The following is a 15,881-nucleotide window of genomic DNA, read 5'->3' as shown; positions in this document are numbered from 1 at the left end:
GATATGGAGGTAATCCCTAATCCAGCCTAAACAGGTATGGAGGTAATCTCTGATCCAGCCTAATGGGATATGGAGGTAATCTCTGATCCAGCCTAAAGGGGTATGGAGGTAATATCTGATCCAGCCTAAAGGGGTATGGAGGTAATCTCCGGCTCTCCCACCATGGCTAATCTTAGTTATACAATAGCTATTCCTTCTCTTAGTTATACAATAGCATAGCCATGTTGCATGACTCTTGGGCATTATTTTTATAGATTCAAGGGGAAAGGTGCCTCATGGAGGAGTTATGCAAAGTGGTGGCCCTGAATGTAACTCCCTAGTTTTAGCTGTGCATATGGTTGTTCAGATAGACACTACATTTGTCAGCTTTCCTTGTAGCTCAGTGTCATTATGTAACTAATTTCTGGCCAATGGGATGGAAGCATAAATCTGAATGTGCATTTCCCCGGCTCTTCCCTCACTTCATATGGACTGGAAAATGGTGAGGCGGAAAAGCTAACATGGAACCAAAGATGGAAACCACATATCGAAAATGGCAGAGCCATTCTACTAGGTCTAGCTACCTGTGGCTGGACCAGTGCGTGAGAGAGAAATAAGCTTGTAGCTTGTTTGAACCACTGATTTAAGAGTCTCTTTGCTACAGCAATTTAGATGGTACCCTCACTAACGCAGTTGTTAAAGCATGCCATTGGGCTGGGTGCAGTGGCTCACACCTGGAATCCCAGCACTTTGGGAGGCCAAGGCGGGCGGATCACGAGGTCAGGAGATCAAGATCACCCTGGCCAACACGGTGAAACCCCATCTCTACTAAAATACAAAAAAAAAAAAAAAAATTAGCCGGGGGTGGTGTCATGCGCCTGTAGTCCCAGCTACTTGGGAGGCTGAGGCAGGGGAATCACCTGAACCCGGGAGGCAGAGGTTTCAGTGAGCCGAGATTGCACCACTGCACTCCAGCCTGGCAACAGAAGAAGACTTTGTCTAACAAAAAAAAAAGAAAAGAAAAAGAAAAAAGCATGGCATTGAAGGTAGTTAGGGGCGAAAAACTTTGTACTTTTAATACTATTTAATTGTTGTGTTGTCAGTCAGCCACCATACAACCTAGGGAAAACCCAGAAAATAGCATTTATAGGAGAAATTTTCCCGCAAGGAAGCTGCCCTAATTCTCCCTCTAGTGATATGACACTTTTTTTTTTTTAACCTGTAAAAGGGAAAGGTGTCTGGAAAATGGAGAGGAACTTCTTCACCTTTAACATTCTTTGATTTTCAAAAAGAAAGTAATGACCCTCACACAATTATAGTTGCTTGAGGCCACAGTTGGGAAAAATCCTGGACATGCTTGTACACATGACTTGAAGGAAGCATTTCCAAACATGAAGAACCAATATGAACAAGTATGAAAAGAAGAACAAATATAAATTTATGCTTTTTACTTGCACAAATTGTTTGCAACAAAATCACAATAAATTGCACATTTTCTAGGTAGTCCTTTTAGTTTTCCTAGCAAATATAAGCACCAAATACAAACAACAAAGAAAAGAGCATCTTTCAAGCAAGAAGCAGGAAGAACCAACAGTGAGTGCATGAAGATATATTGGATTAATACAGCCACACAGAAACAGGGACAGAAGAGGATGAGAAAACCACAGAGAGATAGGTTTTGGATTTGGAATGAAAAAAAGCAAAATGGATTCTTTTCTTTCTGAATCCTTCAAAGGACTGTTAGCGTACATATAGCTTAAGAGTTGAGTTTGTGTTTATTTGAAAATAATATATTTGTGATATTTTGTGAGACAATGAATGGTGTGGTTAGTATACAGGTGACATTAAAAAAAATCCTTGGCTGGGCGCAGTGGCTCACGTCTGTAATCCTAGCACTTTGGGAGCCTGAGGTGGGCAGATCACGAGGTCAGGAGATCAAGACCATCCTGGCCAACATGGTGAAACCCTGTCTCTACTAAAAAATACAAAACAGTTAGCTGGGCCTGGTGGCCCATGCCTGTAGTCCCAGCTACTTGGGAGGCTGAGGCAAGAGAATTGCTTGAACCCAGGAGGCGGAGGTTGTAGTGAGCCAAGATCACGCCACTGCACTCCAGCCTTCGAGACTCCGTCTCCAGCCTTTCAGACCCTGTCTCCAGCCTTTGAGACTCCGTCTCAAAAAAAAAAAAAATCCTTTGTACTTTATAGGGTTTAACAATATGCAGATCATCTTACCTGGGGGTTTTTAAATACAGCATATTTCTCCTCTTTCTCCAAAAATAGTATTTTATTTTCTGTGTCTCTTGTCCAGTCTGATAAGACTTCAACAACATTTTCATGGTCTTCAAAAAACCTCTCTGATGAAATAAGAAAAGGTATTCTTTCAGACCCAAGACATCAGGGTTTCCAAGTGAGAAACAAGCTATTATTGAGTTAATGCTTCATGACTTTCATCAGGTGCCTGGGATTCTTATTAATAATTCTCACATGATGCCACACTGTAACATTTCTATTATGTTTCTCTTTCATTGTCTTCAAGTTATCTTCCATTATAAACAAGATGAAAAAACCCATAACACAGTGACAATGGTCAGCTGTCACACTTATTTCTTTTTTTCTTTCATTTTGTTTAAGAGATGGGGTCTTACTGTGTTGTCCAGGCTGGAGTGCAGTGGCTATTCACAGGCTCAAGGCTCAAGCAATCCTCCTGCCTCACCCTCCCAAGTAGCTCAGCCTACAGGCATATGCCAGTGTACCCAGAGACATACTTTTTTCATATCGACATTTTTTACTTTAAATAGTCCCAGATGGTGGCAAACATTCTACGTGAGGTGGACAATCAGTCAATGACTGGTGAAACACTTTGAATGAAATTGTGAGAGCCAGTGTGTACTCTAAAACATCACTCCTTAACACTCTAAAAGCAATGTGTGAATGCTTGAATTAAAACATAAAGAAAGGCTTTCATTTCTTCCCTTGACTCACAGAATTGAAGAGAAATTTAAGGGACTGCTTTAGTGTAAACCATCTTATCCAGAAAAAAAATTGCTCCCAAAGCTTCCAGCACAGGCAATTCTCCGTCCCACCCAGCTCTCCTGAGAGACGACTGTCCCATTATTAAAAATGAGAAATATGATGATGTGTGCCTATAGTCCCAGCTACTCGGGATGCAGAGGCAGGAGGAGTGCTTGAGCCCAGGAGCTCGAGGCTGCAGTGACCCGTGATTGCGCCATTGCACTGTAGCTTCGGTGATAGAGCAAGACCCTGTCTCAACACCACCACCACCACCAAGAATAAGTAACAGTATATCTTCAGTTAACCTTTTTTTCCACTTTTGAAAAATTCCATCAGTGTCTACCAACTGTTCTTTGCACTGAGGCTGAAACTCTTCCACTAGACAAAGCATCAGAGACTAAGCCAGTGGGGAGGGAGGAAGGGGAAATGAGCACTTGTGGGAGGCTATGGCAGGGTTATGGTCAGTTAAGGAAGCAACCACTAAAGGGGCATTAGCCAACAGATACCCAGGCTCTCCTGCCACCTGCTCAGCTTATTAAGCATGCAGCATCTTAGTAAGTATCATCCAGCCACTCTCTTTCCCTTATGGAACCACTAGAGAAGCAGCAGTAATAGTGCTTATATCCCCCAAGGTCTGGCCACCACCTGCTAGAATCCAAGTTCTTCACTACAATGAAATGAAGAGTCAAGCACTAAATCTCATATAAGGGAATTGAAAGCCTTGAACCAAAGTCTTCTCAAGGATGAACCAGGCCAGGCGCAGTGGCTCACACCTGTAATCACAGCACTTTGGGAGGCCCAGGTGGGAGGATCGCTTGAGCACAGGATTTTGAGATCAGCCTGGGCAGCATAGTGAGAGCATGTGTCTATTTTTTATATAAAATTAAAGAGAAAAAAAGAATAAACCCAAGCCCATTATACAGCAAACCCACAAGGTTTTTGGAGTACAGCCCATTGCTGGGGATGGGACTTACCAATTTGTAGTTCCGGGTAGATTTCATAAAGACACCAGTCTACATTGCAGTCACAATGAGTTTTCTCGAAAAGGTTGTCCAGAACATCTCGGGCCAGCTGCCGCTCATCCACCATCAGTGACTTTGTGCTGTTATCATTCATGTGCACCTTGACGACGAGCTGAGGATAGAACCATGGGGCAGCCAGTAAATTTCAGCAACTGGAGAAGGCTACTAAGATGAGGGTTTCAAAGTTGCTATTGTTTCTGCAAATTTCTGTAAGAATGTGTTTGGTGAACTTGCTCCATCTAAACTAACTTGCATGCCAAGCACTTGTTTTAGGTGCTAGGATTACAGAGGTGGAGAAACCAATTCACAAAAATAGAAAATAGATAATAAACACAGTCCTTGTCTAGCCTTCAGAGACAGGCAGTCTGGTGGGAGAGACAGAAAACAACAGAACAAAAAAAGTGTTAGCTTCTTTCTTTCCCAATAATCTTTCCCTTGTTCTCATTCCATCCTGGAGCCCAGAAACTTTTCTAGATTAAAAGCTATGTCTGTATCTTTATTATTATTATTATTTTGAGATGGATTCTTGCTCTGTCGCCCAGGCTGGAGTGCAGTGGCGTGATCTCAGCTCACTGCAACCTTTGCTTCCTGGGTTTGAGTGATTCTCTTGTCTCAGCCTTCCTAGTAGTTGGGATTACAGGTGCCTGCTACCATGCCCAGCTAATTTTTTTTCTTTTTCCAGTGGAGATGGCGTTTCACCATGTTAGCCAGGCTGGTCTTGAACTCCTGACTTCAAGTGATCCACCCACCTCGGCCTCTCAAAGTGCGGGGATCACAGGTGTGAGCCACCACACCTGGCCACCTGTTTCTTTATAATAAACTCTTCTCTTTTGCTTAGCTGGAGTTGAGTCCCATTTCATGCAACCCAAGAGTCTGAAGACACCAAATAAGACCAAGTTGGTTAATCTACAATTCTCTAAAGGTCCACAGAGCGTATGTTAACACGGTATCACTGAGGGGGCCCCACTGAGAGACAGATAGTTAGAGCAGGGCACATTTGAGATCACAGTTGGATTAAGTGAAATGAATGTAGACTGAGAAATAAGCTGTTTTGCAGGCACATGATAAATCTAATTTTCATTTGTGTGTGTGTGTGTGTGTGTGTGTGTGTGTGTGTGTGTGTGAGACAGGGTCTTGCTCTGTTGCCTAGGCTGGAGTGCAGTGGTGTCATCTTGGGTTACTGTAGCCTGAACCTCCTGGGCTCAACTGATCCTCCCACCTCAGCCTCCTGAGTGGTTGGGACCACAGGTGTGCACCACCACACCCAGCTAATTTTTGTTCATTTTTTTGTAGAGGCAAGGTCTCACTATGTTGCCCATGTTGGTTTCAAACTCCTGGCCTCAAGCAATTCTCCTGCCTCACCGGCCTAAAGTGCTGGGATTACAGGCATGAGCCACTGTATCCAGCCCCTAATTTACTTTTTATTCCATTTTCAAAATATTCTATTGAATTAAATTCACAATAAAATTGGTAGTAATCTCATTCCAAATCTGTAGGTTTGGAGGAAGCTGCATTTACTTATCTTCAGTAAAAACACAATATCCTTGACTTTTTCTAGGCAACTTGTCAAAGTTATTAAAACATCTGATTCAGCCGGGCATGGTGGCTCACGCCTGTTATCCCAGCACTTTGGGAGGCCGAGGTGGACAGATCATGAGGTCAGGAATTCAAGGCCAGCCTGACCAACATGATGAAACCCCGTCTCTACTAAAAATACAGAAGTTAGCCAGGCGTGGTGGCATGTGCCTGTAATCCCAGCTGCTCAGGAGGCTGAGGCAGGAGAATCGCTTGAAACTGGGAGGCAGAGGTTGCAGTGAGCCGAGATTGCAGCACTGCACTCCAGCATGGGGGGTGGAGCGAGACTCTGTCTCAAAAAAAGAAAAGAAAACAACAACAACAAAAAAGATCTTATTCGTTAGAGAGACCGTGATTTTCATGTAATGTAACAGAATTAATTCTTGAAGTTATGCAGCTAGGCTTTGGATTTTCTTTGATACCTGTGTATTTGTAGCATATGAGCTTAACGGTTGGTCCCGGTTATTCAACGATAAGACTCATTGTTATTAAAAAAGTGATTAGATGGACTGAAAAAGGAGAGAGAAACCATAAATTTGGTAACATTTCTTTCTCTCCACAAGTTTGGATTAGGTTCTGAGCAGCCAGGTTCTGTCCTATTCCTACCTCCCATCCAAGTACTAACCAGACCTAACCCTGTCTAGCTTCTGAGATCGGATGAGATAGAGTACAACCAGGGTTGTATGGCTGGCTGTAGCTTTATTCTTTCCTAACACTCTATAGTTAACAGGTTGAAGAGTGTAGTTCCTGTAGATGGTTCTGCAGAGTTACTGATAGCAATGGAAGGGTGTGTGTGGTGGTAACCATTTGGGTGAGTTGCAGGCAGCAACCACAAGTTGAAGCAATCATGTAATACCTTCTATTTCCAACATTCACAAACACCCCCAAGATCAAAATGTAGACATGGGGCAGTCAAAATGCTTTCTTCCTCCAGGGACCATTTAAATCAGAGCCTTATCCCAGGGTTTCCTAAAGAACACTTTTTTTTCCCCCTTGAAAATCTCTAGCCCAGACATCTGTAGTTGGATAGTTGCTTTTTCCCTGTATTTGTATTTTGATGATAAAATGGTAGGCCCAACTATAAATGGTAGGTGTCAAAGATCCATTCATCTGACCTTAGAAATGAGTCATGGAGGGTTGTATGGAAATAGAGAAATTCTTCAAATAGCAGTCTTTACTAGGATTTATTTTCTGTGGAAGGTGTACTTGCTGCTCTCTGCTGAGAATTACTGCTGTAAAGTAGCTACATGTGCTAAGACACACTACCAATGTTAAGGCTTAGAAAATTTAATGTTCCTGATGGAAAGATTAATGATGTTTGACTACATCTCAATCCTGCTTAGGAATTCTTAAGAAAATAAAACATATGTTGCTGTTTTTTATGTTCTATAAAAACATACATACAGAGAAAAAATACTAAACCACATAATTTGGCAATGATTAAAGGTGTTTTTTTGCAGAAATTGGAAACTAGAGTTAATCTACACGTACTTATGAATGTCCACAATTATAGAATTTAGAAAACACACACACACACATATAACCAAGAGAAGCCTTGTGATGTTTAGCAAGAAGAAATTATATTTACTATTCTTCACAGCTTCCCTCACGTTTGCAAGCTAGAGTAGCTCTATACCAACACATAACATTAAATCACAGTTATGTGATTTAGTAAGCTAAATCACAGTTATGTGATTTAGCAAGCTAAATACTTTCATATTTATGGGGCAAAGTGATTCAAGGGTGAAAAAACTTAAATGATCTATTAAAGATTTTATAACTTTTATAATTTTTTATAATTTCTTCTTTTTTTGCAAGATGCTAAACACAAAATTTCTGAGACCTAAATCATTTACAGTTTTGTGGGGGGTTTTTTTTGTTTTTTTTTGCTTCTATACTAAAATTTATAAATGGAATTGTTCTCTGGTGTCCCAGGGCATTTTTAAAAAAACAATAAAAGTAATGCATGAGTCTGATTCTGTTTCTAGTTCCAAAATCTTTGTAGCACAAGCTGTATACATCATTTGTAATTCAAAATGATGTCAACAGCCCACAGAATACTTGAGGGCAAAGTATGACAGATAGATTTGATTTCCATCCTTTAAAAACATGTTGTAGATTATGCATGAGTACATTGCGGTTATTCTTTTAATGCATGAGCGTGTCTGTTATTTTCTTAATATTCTGCACCACAGAACAAATACATTCGGAGTGTCTGAAATCAGAGCAAATACATAACTTGTCTTCGTAATTTTCTTTTCTTCCTCACTGATCAGAGCGGCTTCTGTTTTCCATCTTCTTTGTTGAATCAAGGCAGCTTGTGCTTTGTGTGTGCCATTATAATTCATCTAAACTAAATCATGGCAACACTTTCTCACTGTCTGATATATGGCAGGAAATACTTGCCCTCTCCTCCTGTTCTCTTAGTCTCCAGCTGAAGCGAATGAATGGAATCTGCTGGCTGTTCTATCTTTTAATCTAAGAAACAACTTACTTCTCTTTTCATTTCCCCTTCTGAAAATACATAAACAATATATTTTATACATAATCCAGGGGTTTGAAATAGTCTAATTAGAAAGTTTACTTTTACCATTTTCTTTTGTCTTTTTATCTTGAGAGGTAAAGTCAATGACTCAGCACAGCTCATCCTCAGCTGCCAACCATGTGTGATCAATTCTACATGTTTATCCATGTGTGAGATTTTGTGCTACAATCCTGCTCTCATACCTTGCCCCTACAATCCATTTTCTACAAAGTAGCCAGTATGACCCATATTTATTTATTTTAGAGACAAGATCTTGCTCTGCCACCCAGGCTGGAGTGCAGTGGTATGATCACAGCTCACTGCAACCTTGAATTCCCGGGGTCAAGGGATCCTCCCGCCTCAGCCACCTGTAGCTGGGACTACATGTGTGAACCGCCATGCCCAGCTAACTAAAAACAATTTTTATTTTTGTGGAGATGGGGTCTTGCTATGTTGCCCAGGCTGGTCTTAACTCCTGACCTCAGGCGATCCTCCTGCCTCGGCCTCCCAAAGTGCTGAGATTAGAGGTGTGAGCCTCTGTGCCTGGCCCTTTATGACCTTTAAAAGCCGTGTATTCGTCTTACACTCCCCTGTTTAAAACCCTCAAATGGTTTCCCATTGCACTTATAATACAACCCAAACTTCTCCTTGGGCCTATGAGACCCTGTGTCTCCCAGCTGCCTCTCTGTCCTCAGTTCCTTCCTTTTTTCCCCACCTCCCCGAGCTGATTCTTGCTGGAGCATATTTCTCTCTCTGTTCCCTCTGCCGGGAATGCCCCCCAGCACCACACCCACATGCATCCAGCTGCTTCTGGCCGGAGGCCTCCCCTTCAGGGCTGCCTGCTCAGAGAGGCCTCCTCAGCACCAGTTCCAGCTGGTAGGGTTGCCTGGGTACTCTCTATCACTTCTTCCTGGTTTATTTTCTTCAGAGCTAGAGTCTAACTAGACTCTAACTCTCCACAAGCAGGGACCACACTTGACTTGTTCACCTCTGTGTGATCCTGACACCTATTCTAAGAGATGGGGATGCATTGGTGGGGAAAAGAGACAAAGATCCCTGGGGGAGATCCTGTGGGGTGGTGGGGAGGGGATACGGGCAATACATAGGACAAATAAGTAAAGTAGGCCAGGCGAAGCAATCCTCCCACTTCAACCTCCCAAAGTGCTGGAATTACATGCCTGTTTCTTCTTTCCCTTAATTTACCAAATTAACTATTTTAACTATTATTACATGCCTGTAATCCCAGAACTTTGACAGGCTGAAGTGGGAGGATTGCTTGAGGCCAGGAGTTTGAGACCAGCCTGGGCAACATAGCCAGATCCTTTCTCTACAAATAATTTTAAAAAATAGTGGGCCATGGTGGTGCATACCTGTAGTCTCAGCTACTTGGGAGGCTGGGTGGGAGGATCACTTGAGCCCAGGAATTTGAGGCTTCAGTGAGCTGTGATTGTACCACTGCACTCCAGCCTGGGTGACAGAGCAAGACCTTGCCCCCCACCCCCCCCCCCCACACACACACGGTAGTGTTAAGCACTGAGGGGAACACTAAAGTGGGGGAAGGATTGGGAATACTGGGGATGTGTGCATGTGGTGTTAGATAGGAAAGGCCTCGCTAGGAAGGTGACCAAAGACTTAAAGGAGATGCACAGCGAACCTACTCAGAATCCAGGGAAGAGGCAGAGGACCTGCAAAGTGCCAAGGTCCCAAGGCAAGGGCAGGCCTAGAGTGCTTAAGGGGCAGCCAGGAGACCAGGCAGCTAGAATGGGGTGAATGAAGGAGTGAACACTGGGAGATGAGGCCAGGGAGGTGACTGGTCGCCATGTCATGCAGGGACTGGAGGCCACTGGGAGGATTCATTCTGGCTTCACGTGTGAGATGGTCAGACATCGGAGACTTTTGAGCAGAGGAGGACAGAAAGAGAGACTGCAGCCCAAGAGAAGAGTCTGGCCCTCGGCAGAAACATAATGATTTATCCATTGTTAAGGAAAGAATATGGGATATATGGGTACAGATGCACGCAGGTAGATAGGTAGATGTCTTGGTGGGAGCTTGCGCAACTTTTGTTTTGACTGTGTCTATTTTCCTTGCAAAATGGGCAACAAAATCATTAGCTGAGGCCAGGTGTGGTGGCTCATGCTTGTAATCCCAGCACTTTGGGAGGCCCAGGTGGGAGGATCGCTTGATGCCAGGAGTTTGAGACCAACCTGGGCAACATAGTGAGACCCTTGTCTCTTAAGTAAAATGGTTTTGTAGGTGAGAGAGTGATTGAACCAGGGTAGCTCACTGGGCACCCAGGACTGAGCAGGAGGAAAGTTGGATTTAACCAAGGTTTGAGAAAAGGACAAGGCAGATGAGGACGTGGAGTTCCAATGATGGACTGTGGAATTAATCACTTGCAGAAAACAGGGGAGAAGAATGGTAAGGAAATTTGGGCACGTTTGGAATGAGTGGAACCAGACTAATCTGGGAAGACTCCCCTAGATGAACCTTGAAAGTCTGGCTCCAGGGGTAGCCAAGGACTACTTCCTGAATATCCATCCATCGGCAGGTATTGAACACCTTCATTCAGAGAACTGTGATAGGTGCCATGGGAATAGAAAGCGTAAAGCCCTATGTGAAAAGGACAATTCACACAACTCTTAGCAGAAAATCCTCAATGAGTCTCAGAGATGTTATTTGCTTCAGGAGTTGAAATCAGATGAAGAGCCAGGCATGGTGGCTCACACCTGTAATCCCACCACTTTGTGAGGCTGAGATGGGTGGCGCGCTTGAGCCTAGGAGTCCGAGAAAAGCCTAGGCAACATAGGGAGGCCTCAACTCTACAAAAAATAAAAATAAATCAGCCGGCATGGTGGTACATGCCTGTGGTTCCAGCTACTCAGAAGGCTGAGGGAGGAGGATTGCTTGACCCCAGGAGTTTAAGGCTGCAGTGAGCCATGATCAGCCTGGGTGATAGAACAAGACCCTGTCTCAAAACAAAACACGATGAAGACTGTTTCATCTTTGCCTTAATTTACCAAATTAACTTTTTTTTTTTAATTTTTTTTTTTGAGATGGAGTCTCGCTCTGGAGTCCAGGCTGGAATGCAGTGGTGCAATCTTGGCTCACGGCAACCTCCGCCTTCTGGGCTCAAATGATTATCCTGCCTCAGCCTGCTGAGTAGCTGGGATTACAGATGCACACCGCTGCGTCCAGCTAATTTTTGTACTTTTAGTATAGACAGGGTTTCACCATGTTGGCCAGGCTGGTCTTAAACTCCTGACCTCAGGTGATCCGCCCGCCTCAGCCTCCCAAAGTGTTGGGATTACAGGCATGAGCCACCGCGCCCAGCCTAACTATTATTAACACTTTATTATCATTAGGTATATTCTTCTAGTGAAGTTAAATACAGCTGTATCTGCTGTTACAATACAATACATGTGTTCTTCAAAAACCTATACTCTGAAAAAATGCATGATCAACTTACAGGCTTATTAGGAAAGTTGGGTTAAGGGCAGATTACTCAAAACCTATTTTGAAACCAGAGCACCAGCAAAAACAGCATTTGGTACCCTGGGATATAACTTGGACATCTAGGTCAGCAGCAGGGCTGACGGCTGCCCCAGGGCATAGGAAAAGTAGACAAGAGCAATTGAGGAAAAGCAGAGGCCAGGCCGACAGAAGCTGAGCTCTGACCCAGTTAGGCATTCCCCAAAGGTGGCGCCACCTGCTATCAACCAAGAATTTTGCAAAGTCCTGGAGAGGGCAGCTCAAAGGAAGGGAGCCCTGGATGTGCAAACTTGTTTTAAAATGTCTTAAGATAGAGCTGAAAGGGCCCCTGCCTGTACAGCACCCAAGCCAAAGGCCCTTTCCTTTCTTGTTGAAGGTATAATTCTACTCCCATCATTCCAGCTCCCAGGAAAATTCATGTATAAGCCAGCAAAAAAAATCATGTACAAGCCAAGGAAACCTCTACATTTATATTAACACAAGTCCCTTATTTATCAATCACAAGTGAGCTAACTGATGTTATAGAAAGAACAATTGTGTACTCTTATCTTTGTCCTTAAAAGTTTTTGAAAATTACAACTATTTGGAAAGTATCACACAACATTTTCTTTCTTTTTTTCTTTTTTTCTTGTTTTTGAGATGGAATCTCACTCTGTCTCCCAGGCTGGAGTGCAGTGGCTCGATCTCAGCTCACTGCAACCTCCACCTCCTGGGTTCAAGCAATTCTCCTTCCTCAGCCTCCCGAGTAGCTGGGACTACAGGCACCTGCCACCACGCCCAGCTAATTTTTTGCATTTTTAGTAGAGACGGGGTTTTGCCATGTTAGCCAGGATGGTCTCGATCTCCTGACCTCATGATCCACCCACCTTGTCCTCCCAAAGTGCTGGGATTACAGGTGTGAGCCACCGCGCCCGGCTTTATTTTGTTTTTTATCATTAAGCATAATCACAGGTCCTTAATTGAACTGCCCCCATGCAAAAGGGATTCATGATTCACCTTCTTAACCTTGGCCTCCTTCAGTTTTTCCAGCGCCAGCTTAATTTTATCAGCCTTGGCTTGGGCTTCTTCCTCTTCCTGGAAAAGGGCAAGATATTCTTCAATACAGTCCATTAAGTAATACCAGTGAGTAATCACTTCTGTCATTGCTAGTGTCTCAGCTACGTTGTATTAACAAAAGGTACCAAATTTCACATGCTTGATTTTCAGAATTTATTAATTACTTTTTAAAGGCATACAAAGTGTAATAATTACATCTGGATAAATGGGGTATCCATTACCTGAAACGTTCAATTTTCAGAATTTAGATGACTATAACAAAATTCTTCAACTCAAAGATATAGAAGGCAGTCACTCTTTATAGCTTGGGAATGGTAACTTAAAAGATGAAATGATGACTTTAACAGTGGTTCGTATATTTAGACCAGAAAAATCCGCTTGGCTCACAAACTGGGATCCGACCTAAGGAATCTATAGATTGACACATCTCCAGGGATTTGAACATTCCCTGAAATTATATGCATACTTTTGGATCAGGATGTCTTTTTGGGGATTTCCAATTTTTTATTAGATTCTTAAAGGGGTTCTTAATGCCCCCAAAGGTTAAGAGAGACTGATTTTTTTTTTTTTTTTGAGATGGAGTCTCACTCTGTTGCCCAGGCTGGAGTGCAGTAGTGTGATCTTGGCTCACTACAAGCTCCGCCTCCTGGGTTCACCCCATTCTCCTGCCTCAGCCTCCTGAGTAGCTGGGACTACAGGCGCCTGCCACCATGCCTGGCTAATTTTTTTGTATTTGTAGTAGAGATGGAGTTTCACGGTGTTAGCCTGGATTGTCTCCATCTCCTGACCTCATGACCCGTCCACCTCGGCCTCCCAAAGTACTGGGATTACAGGCGTGAGCCACCACGCCTGGCCCAAGAGACTGAAATTTAAACTTACAATTCACCAAAAAACAAAAGCACTGACAAGCTCATATGAACAGGCTGAAAAGTGAGTGAAGTATTTTATGAGCCCAAAGCTCTTTGATTTTTGCAAGTTAAGTATCTCTTCTATTTATAATGTTGAGGAAATGAGCTGTTCTGGTTACATTCTAATTACTTGAATATAGGCATGTATCTTTTTATAGCAGTGGTTCTCAAATTGTTTTTGAGCCACAAGCCCCTTTAAGAAAGCCCATAAAGCTTCACAAGTCCATTCAACTTTGTACTTTGTTTACTTTCAGCGGGTGCATGGCCCCCTCGAAATCTTCATGGACCATACATTAAGAGTCTCTGTTCTATATCGATCTCCATTTTCACATAAATTTTCTATAATAAGTACACAATAGAGCACTGTGTGTGATAGAGTATAATTTAATATTTGATTTATATTCAATATTTGTTCATTCAAAAGGCATTGTATGACCTTTCGGGGTCCCTAGGGTCTTATTTGTGAGTACCAAACATCATGACACAGTGTGACCATTGTAGAAGCCACAGGAAATTGAACTGGACTCTCCTCTAAAATATTTGGCTTACTCTAAAAAGAAAATCCTTAAAAGTGCTCTTTTTACTTTTATGAGAGACATACTATGAGTTAACATCCCAAATAATGATCATTTAAACTTTCCAGTTGTCTGTTTTTCAATATTCAGAAATTTATCAATATCAAGCACCCATCATCTGCCTGCTTTGTAACACCCTCCCCAACTATGACATTACAAGTGATACTTGGATGTACCTGTCCTACTGAACAGGGCTGCCAAGTTCAACAAAATTCAATTTCACTCTACTCAGAAAATGTATAATGAATGCCTTCTATTCTCTATGTACTGAGCTAAGAACAGGGACATGGAAATATATAATCAGTTCCACATTTCAATATGATGTTAATAAAACATTTCCCCCAAAAGATTGAGTTTTATCAAATAGTTTTTGCATACAAATATTTTTTAAGCAAACTACAGTAAATCCTGAATATGGCCCTAATACATTCTTGATACACACCCATGTGGCTTGCTTACGGAGGGTTCTAGCTTTGCAATGAGCGTGCTCTGTATCTTTGTTTTTTAGTATCTCAGATCTTTGGATGTACCAACTTAGGAATGTAATGATCACTTCAAGGAACATCAGTGATAGGTAGCAGAGGTTGATGGTCCTGCCATCTCTGGTCCCACATACTTACCTGAGAGAGAGGTTCAGGAGGTGGTGGTGGCAGTGGAAGGTCTAACACAGGATCGGCTGGTGGAGGTGGTAAGTCATCCTCATATTGGCTGATACCAGTGGCAGCAACATTTGTTCCATAACCAAGAGAGGCTGCACCACTGAAAATTGATGCTTGTAGAGATGCTGAATGATGTTGATTCTGCAAGGACTCTTTCTGTGCCTGGATTGTCCTCTGCTCAGCCTCACTTATGTCTGCTACCAGATCTGCCATGAGAGCATCTAAATCTTGGTCTTCCAGTGCATTTAAGGACTCTAGTAGGGAAAATCACATTAATGGTATAAAAACCTATTTGCATCTGGAAAAACTGAAAGAAGATAATTTTTAAGCATAATATTTGAGTAGAAAGGAATCATTATCTTGATTGGTTATGATATGAGAAGATTGAGAATATTTTAATTCAATAGCACAAGCGTAGGAATTCCTAAAAGAACTGTTGCTGCATTTGTTGCATGGTTAATCCGACTGAGTTTCTAACACCAAGAAAAAATATTGGGGGAAATGTGTTCTCTACACTGGGGCACCTGACATACCAGCTATAAAGTCAAATCCAAGCACACGAATAGATGCCTAAGTAGGAAATCCTATAATGTAACATCTTAGAGTTTTAGAAAAGTAGCAGAGGGGGGAGCATTGGAAATGGATGGAAGGGGAGTTTTCCCTAAGCATTTGGAGGGCAAAGAGAGTACTGCTGCTATTTAGAAGAAATTGGATTTCAACCAATGGGGATTTAATGTGCCTGTGACTTTGGGGTGAAGACGGAGCTTCTATAGCCTCACCACCTAACTGTAGAAAACTTCATATTCAGAGAGAGAGCAATTTTTTCTTTTCTTTTTTCTTTCTTTCTTTTTTTTTTTTTTTTGAGACAGAGTCTTAATCTATTGCCCAGGCTGGAGTGCCATAGTGAGATCTTGGCTCACTACAATCTCTGCCTCCCAGGCTCAAGCAATCCTCCCAACTCAGCCTCCCAAGCAGCTGGGACTACAGGTGCATGCCACTACGTCCAGCTAATTTTTGTATTTTGTGTAGAGACAGGGTTTTGTCATGTTGCCCAGACTGGTCTCAAACTCCTGGACTCAAGT

The 15,881-nt window shown here is 42.6% G+C and overlaps 1 protein-coding gene and 1 pseudogene across 2 annotated transcripts in view; both read right to left on the bottom strand.

The window, feature by feature from the left end:
* APBB1IP (amyloid beta precursor protein binding family B member 1 interacting protein) overlaps positions 1-15,881 on the bottom strand; it is a 129,463-nt gene that overhangs the window by 51,932 nt on the left and 61,650 nt on the right. For both annotated transcript variants that reach the window (NM_019043.4, XM_011519514.3), the window contains exons 5-8: positions 14,761-15,053; positions 12,598-12,675; positions 3,966-4,125; positions 2,212-2,333 (exon numbers count right to left, since the gene is read on the bottom strand). In NM_019043.4, coding sequence (NP_061916.3) covers positions 2,212-2,333; positions 3,966-4,125; positions 12,598-12,675; positions 14,761-15,053 — 653 coding nt within the window. The remainder of the gene's footprint in view (positions 1-2,211; positions 2,334-3,965; positions 4,126-12,597; positions 12,676-14,760; positions 15,054-15,881) is intronic.
* RNA5SP307 (RNA, 5S ribosomal pseudogene 307) lies at positions 6,168-6,283 on the bottom strand (annotated as a pseudogene).

This window comes from Homo sapiens, chromosome 10 (genome assembly GCF_000001405.40).
Source record: "Homo sapiens chromosome 10, GRCh38.p14 Primary Assembly".
Classification (NCBI taxonomy): Eukaryota; Metazoa; Chordata; class Mammalia; order Primates; family Hominidae; genus Homo; species Homo sapiens.
Note: the sequence above shows the minus strand (reverse complement) of the source record. Positions and strands in the feature narration are given on the sequence as shown.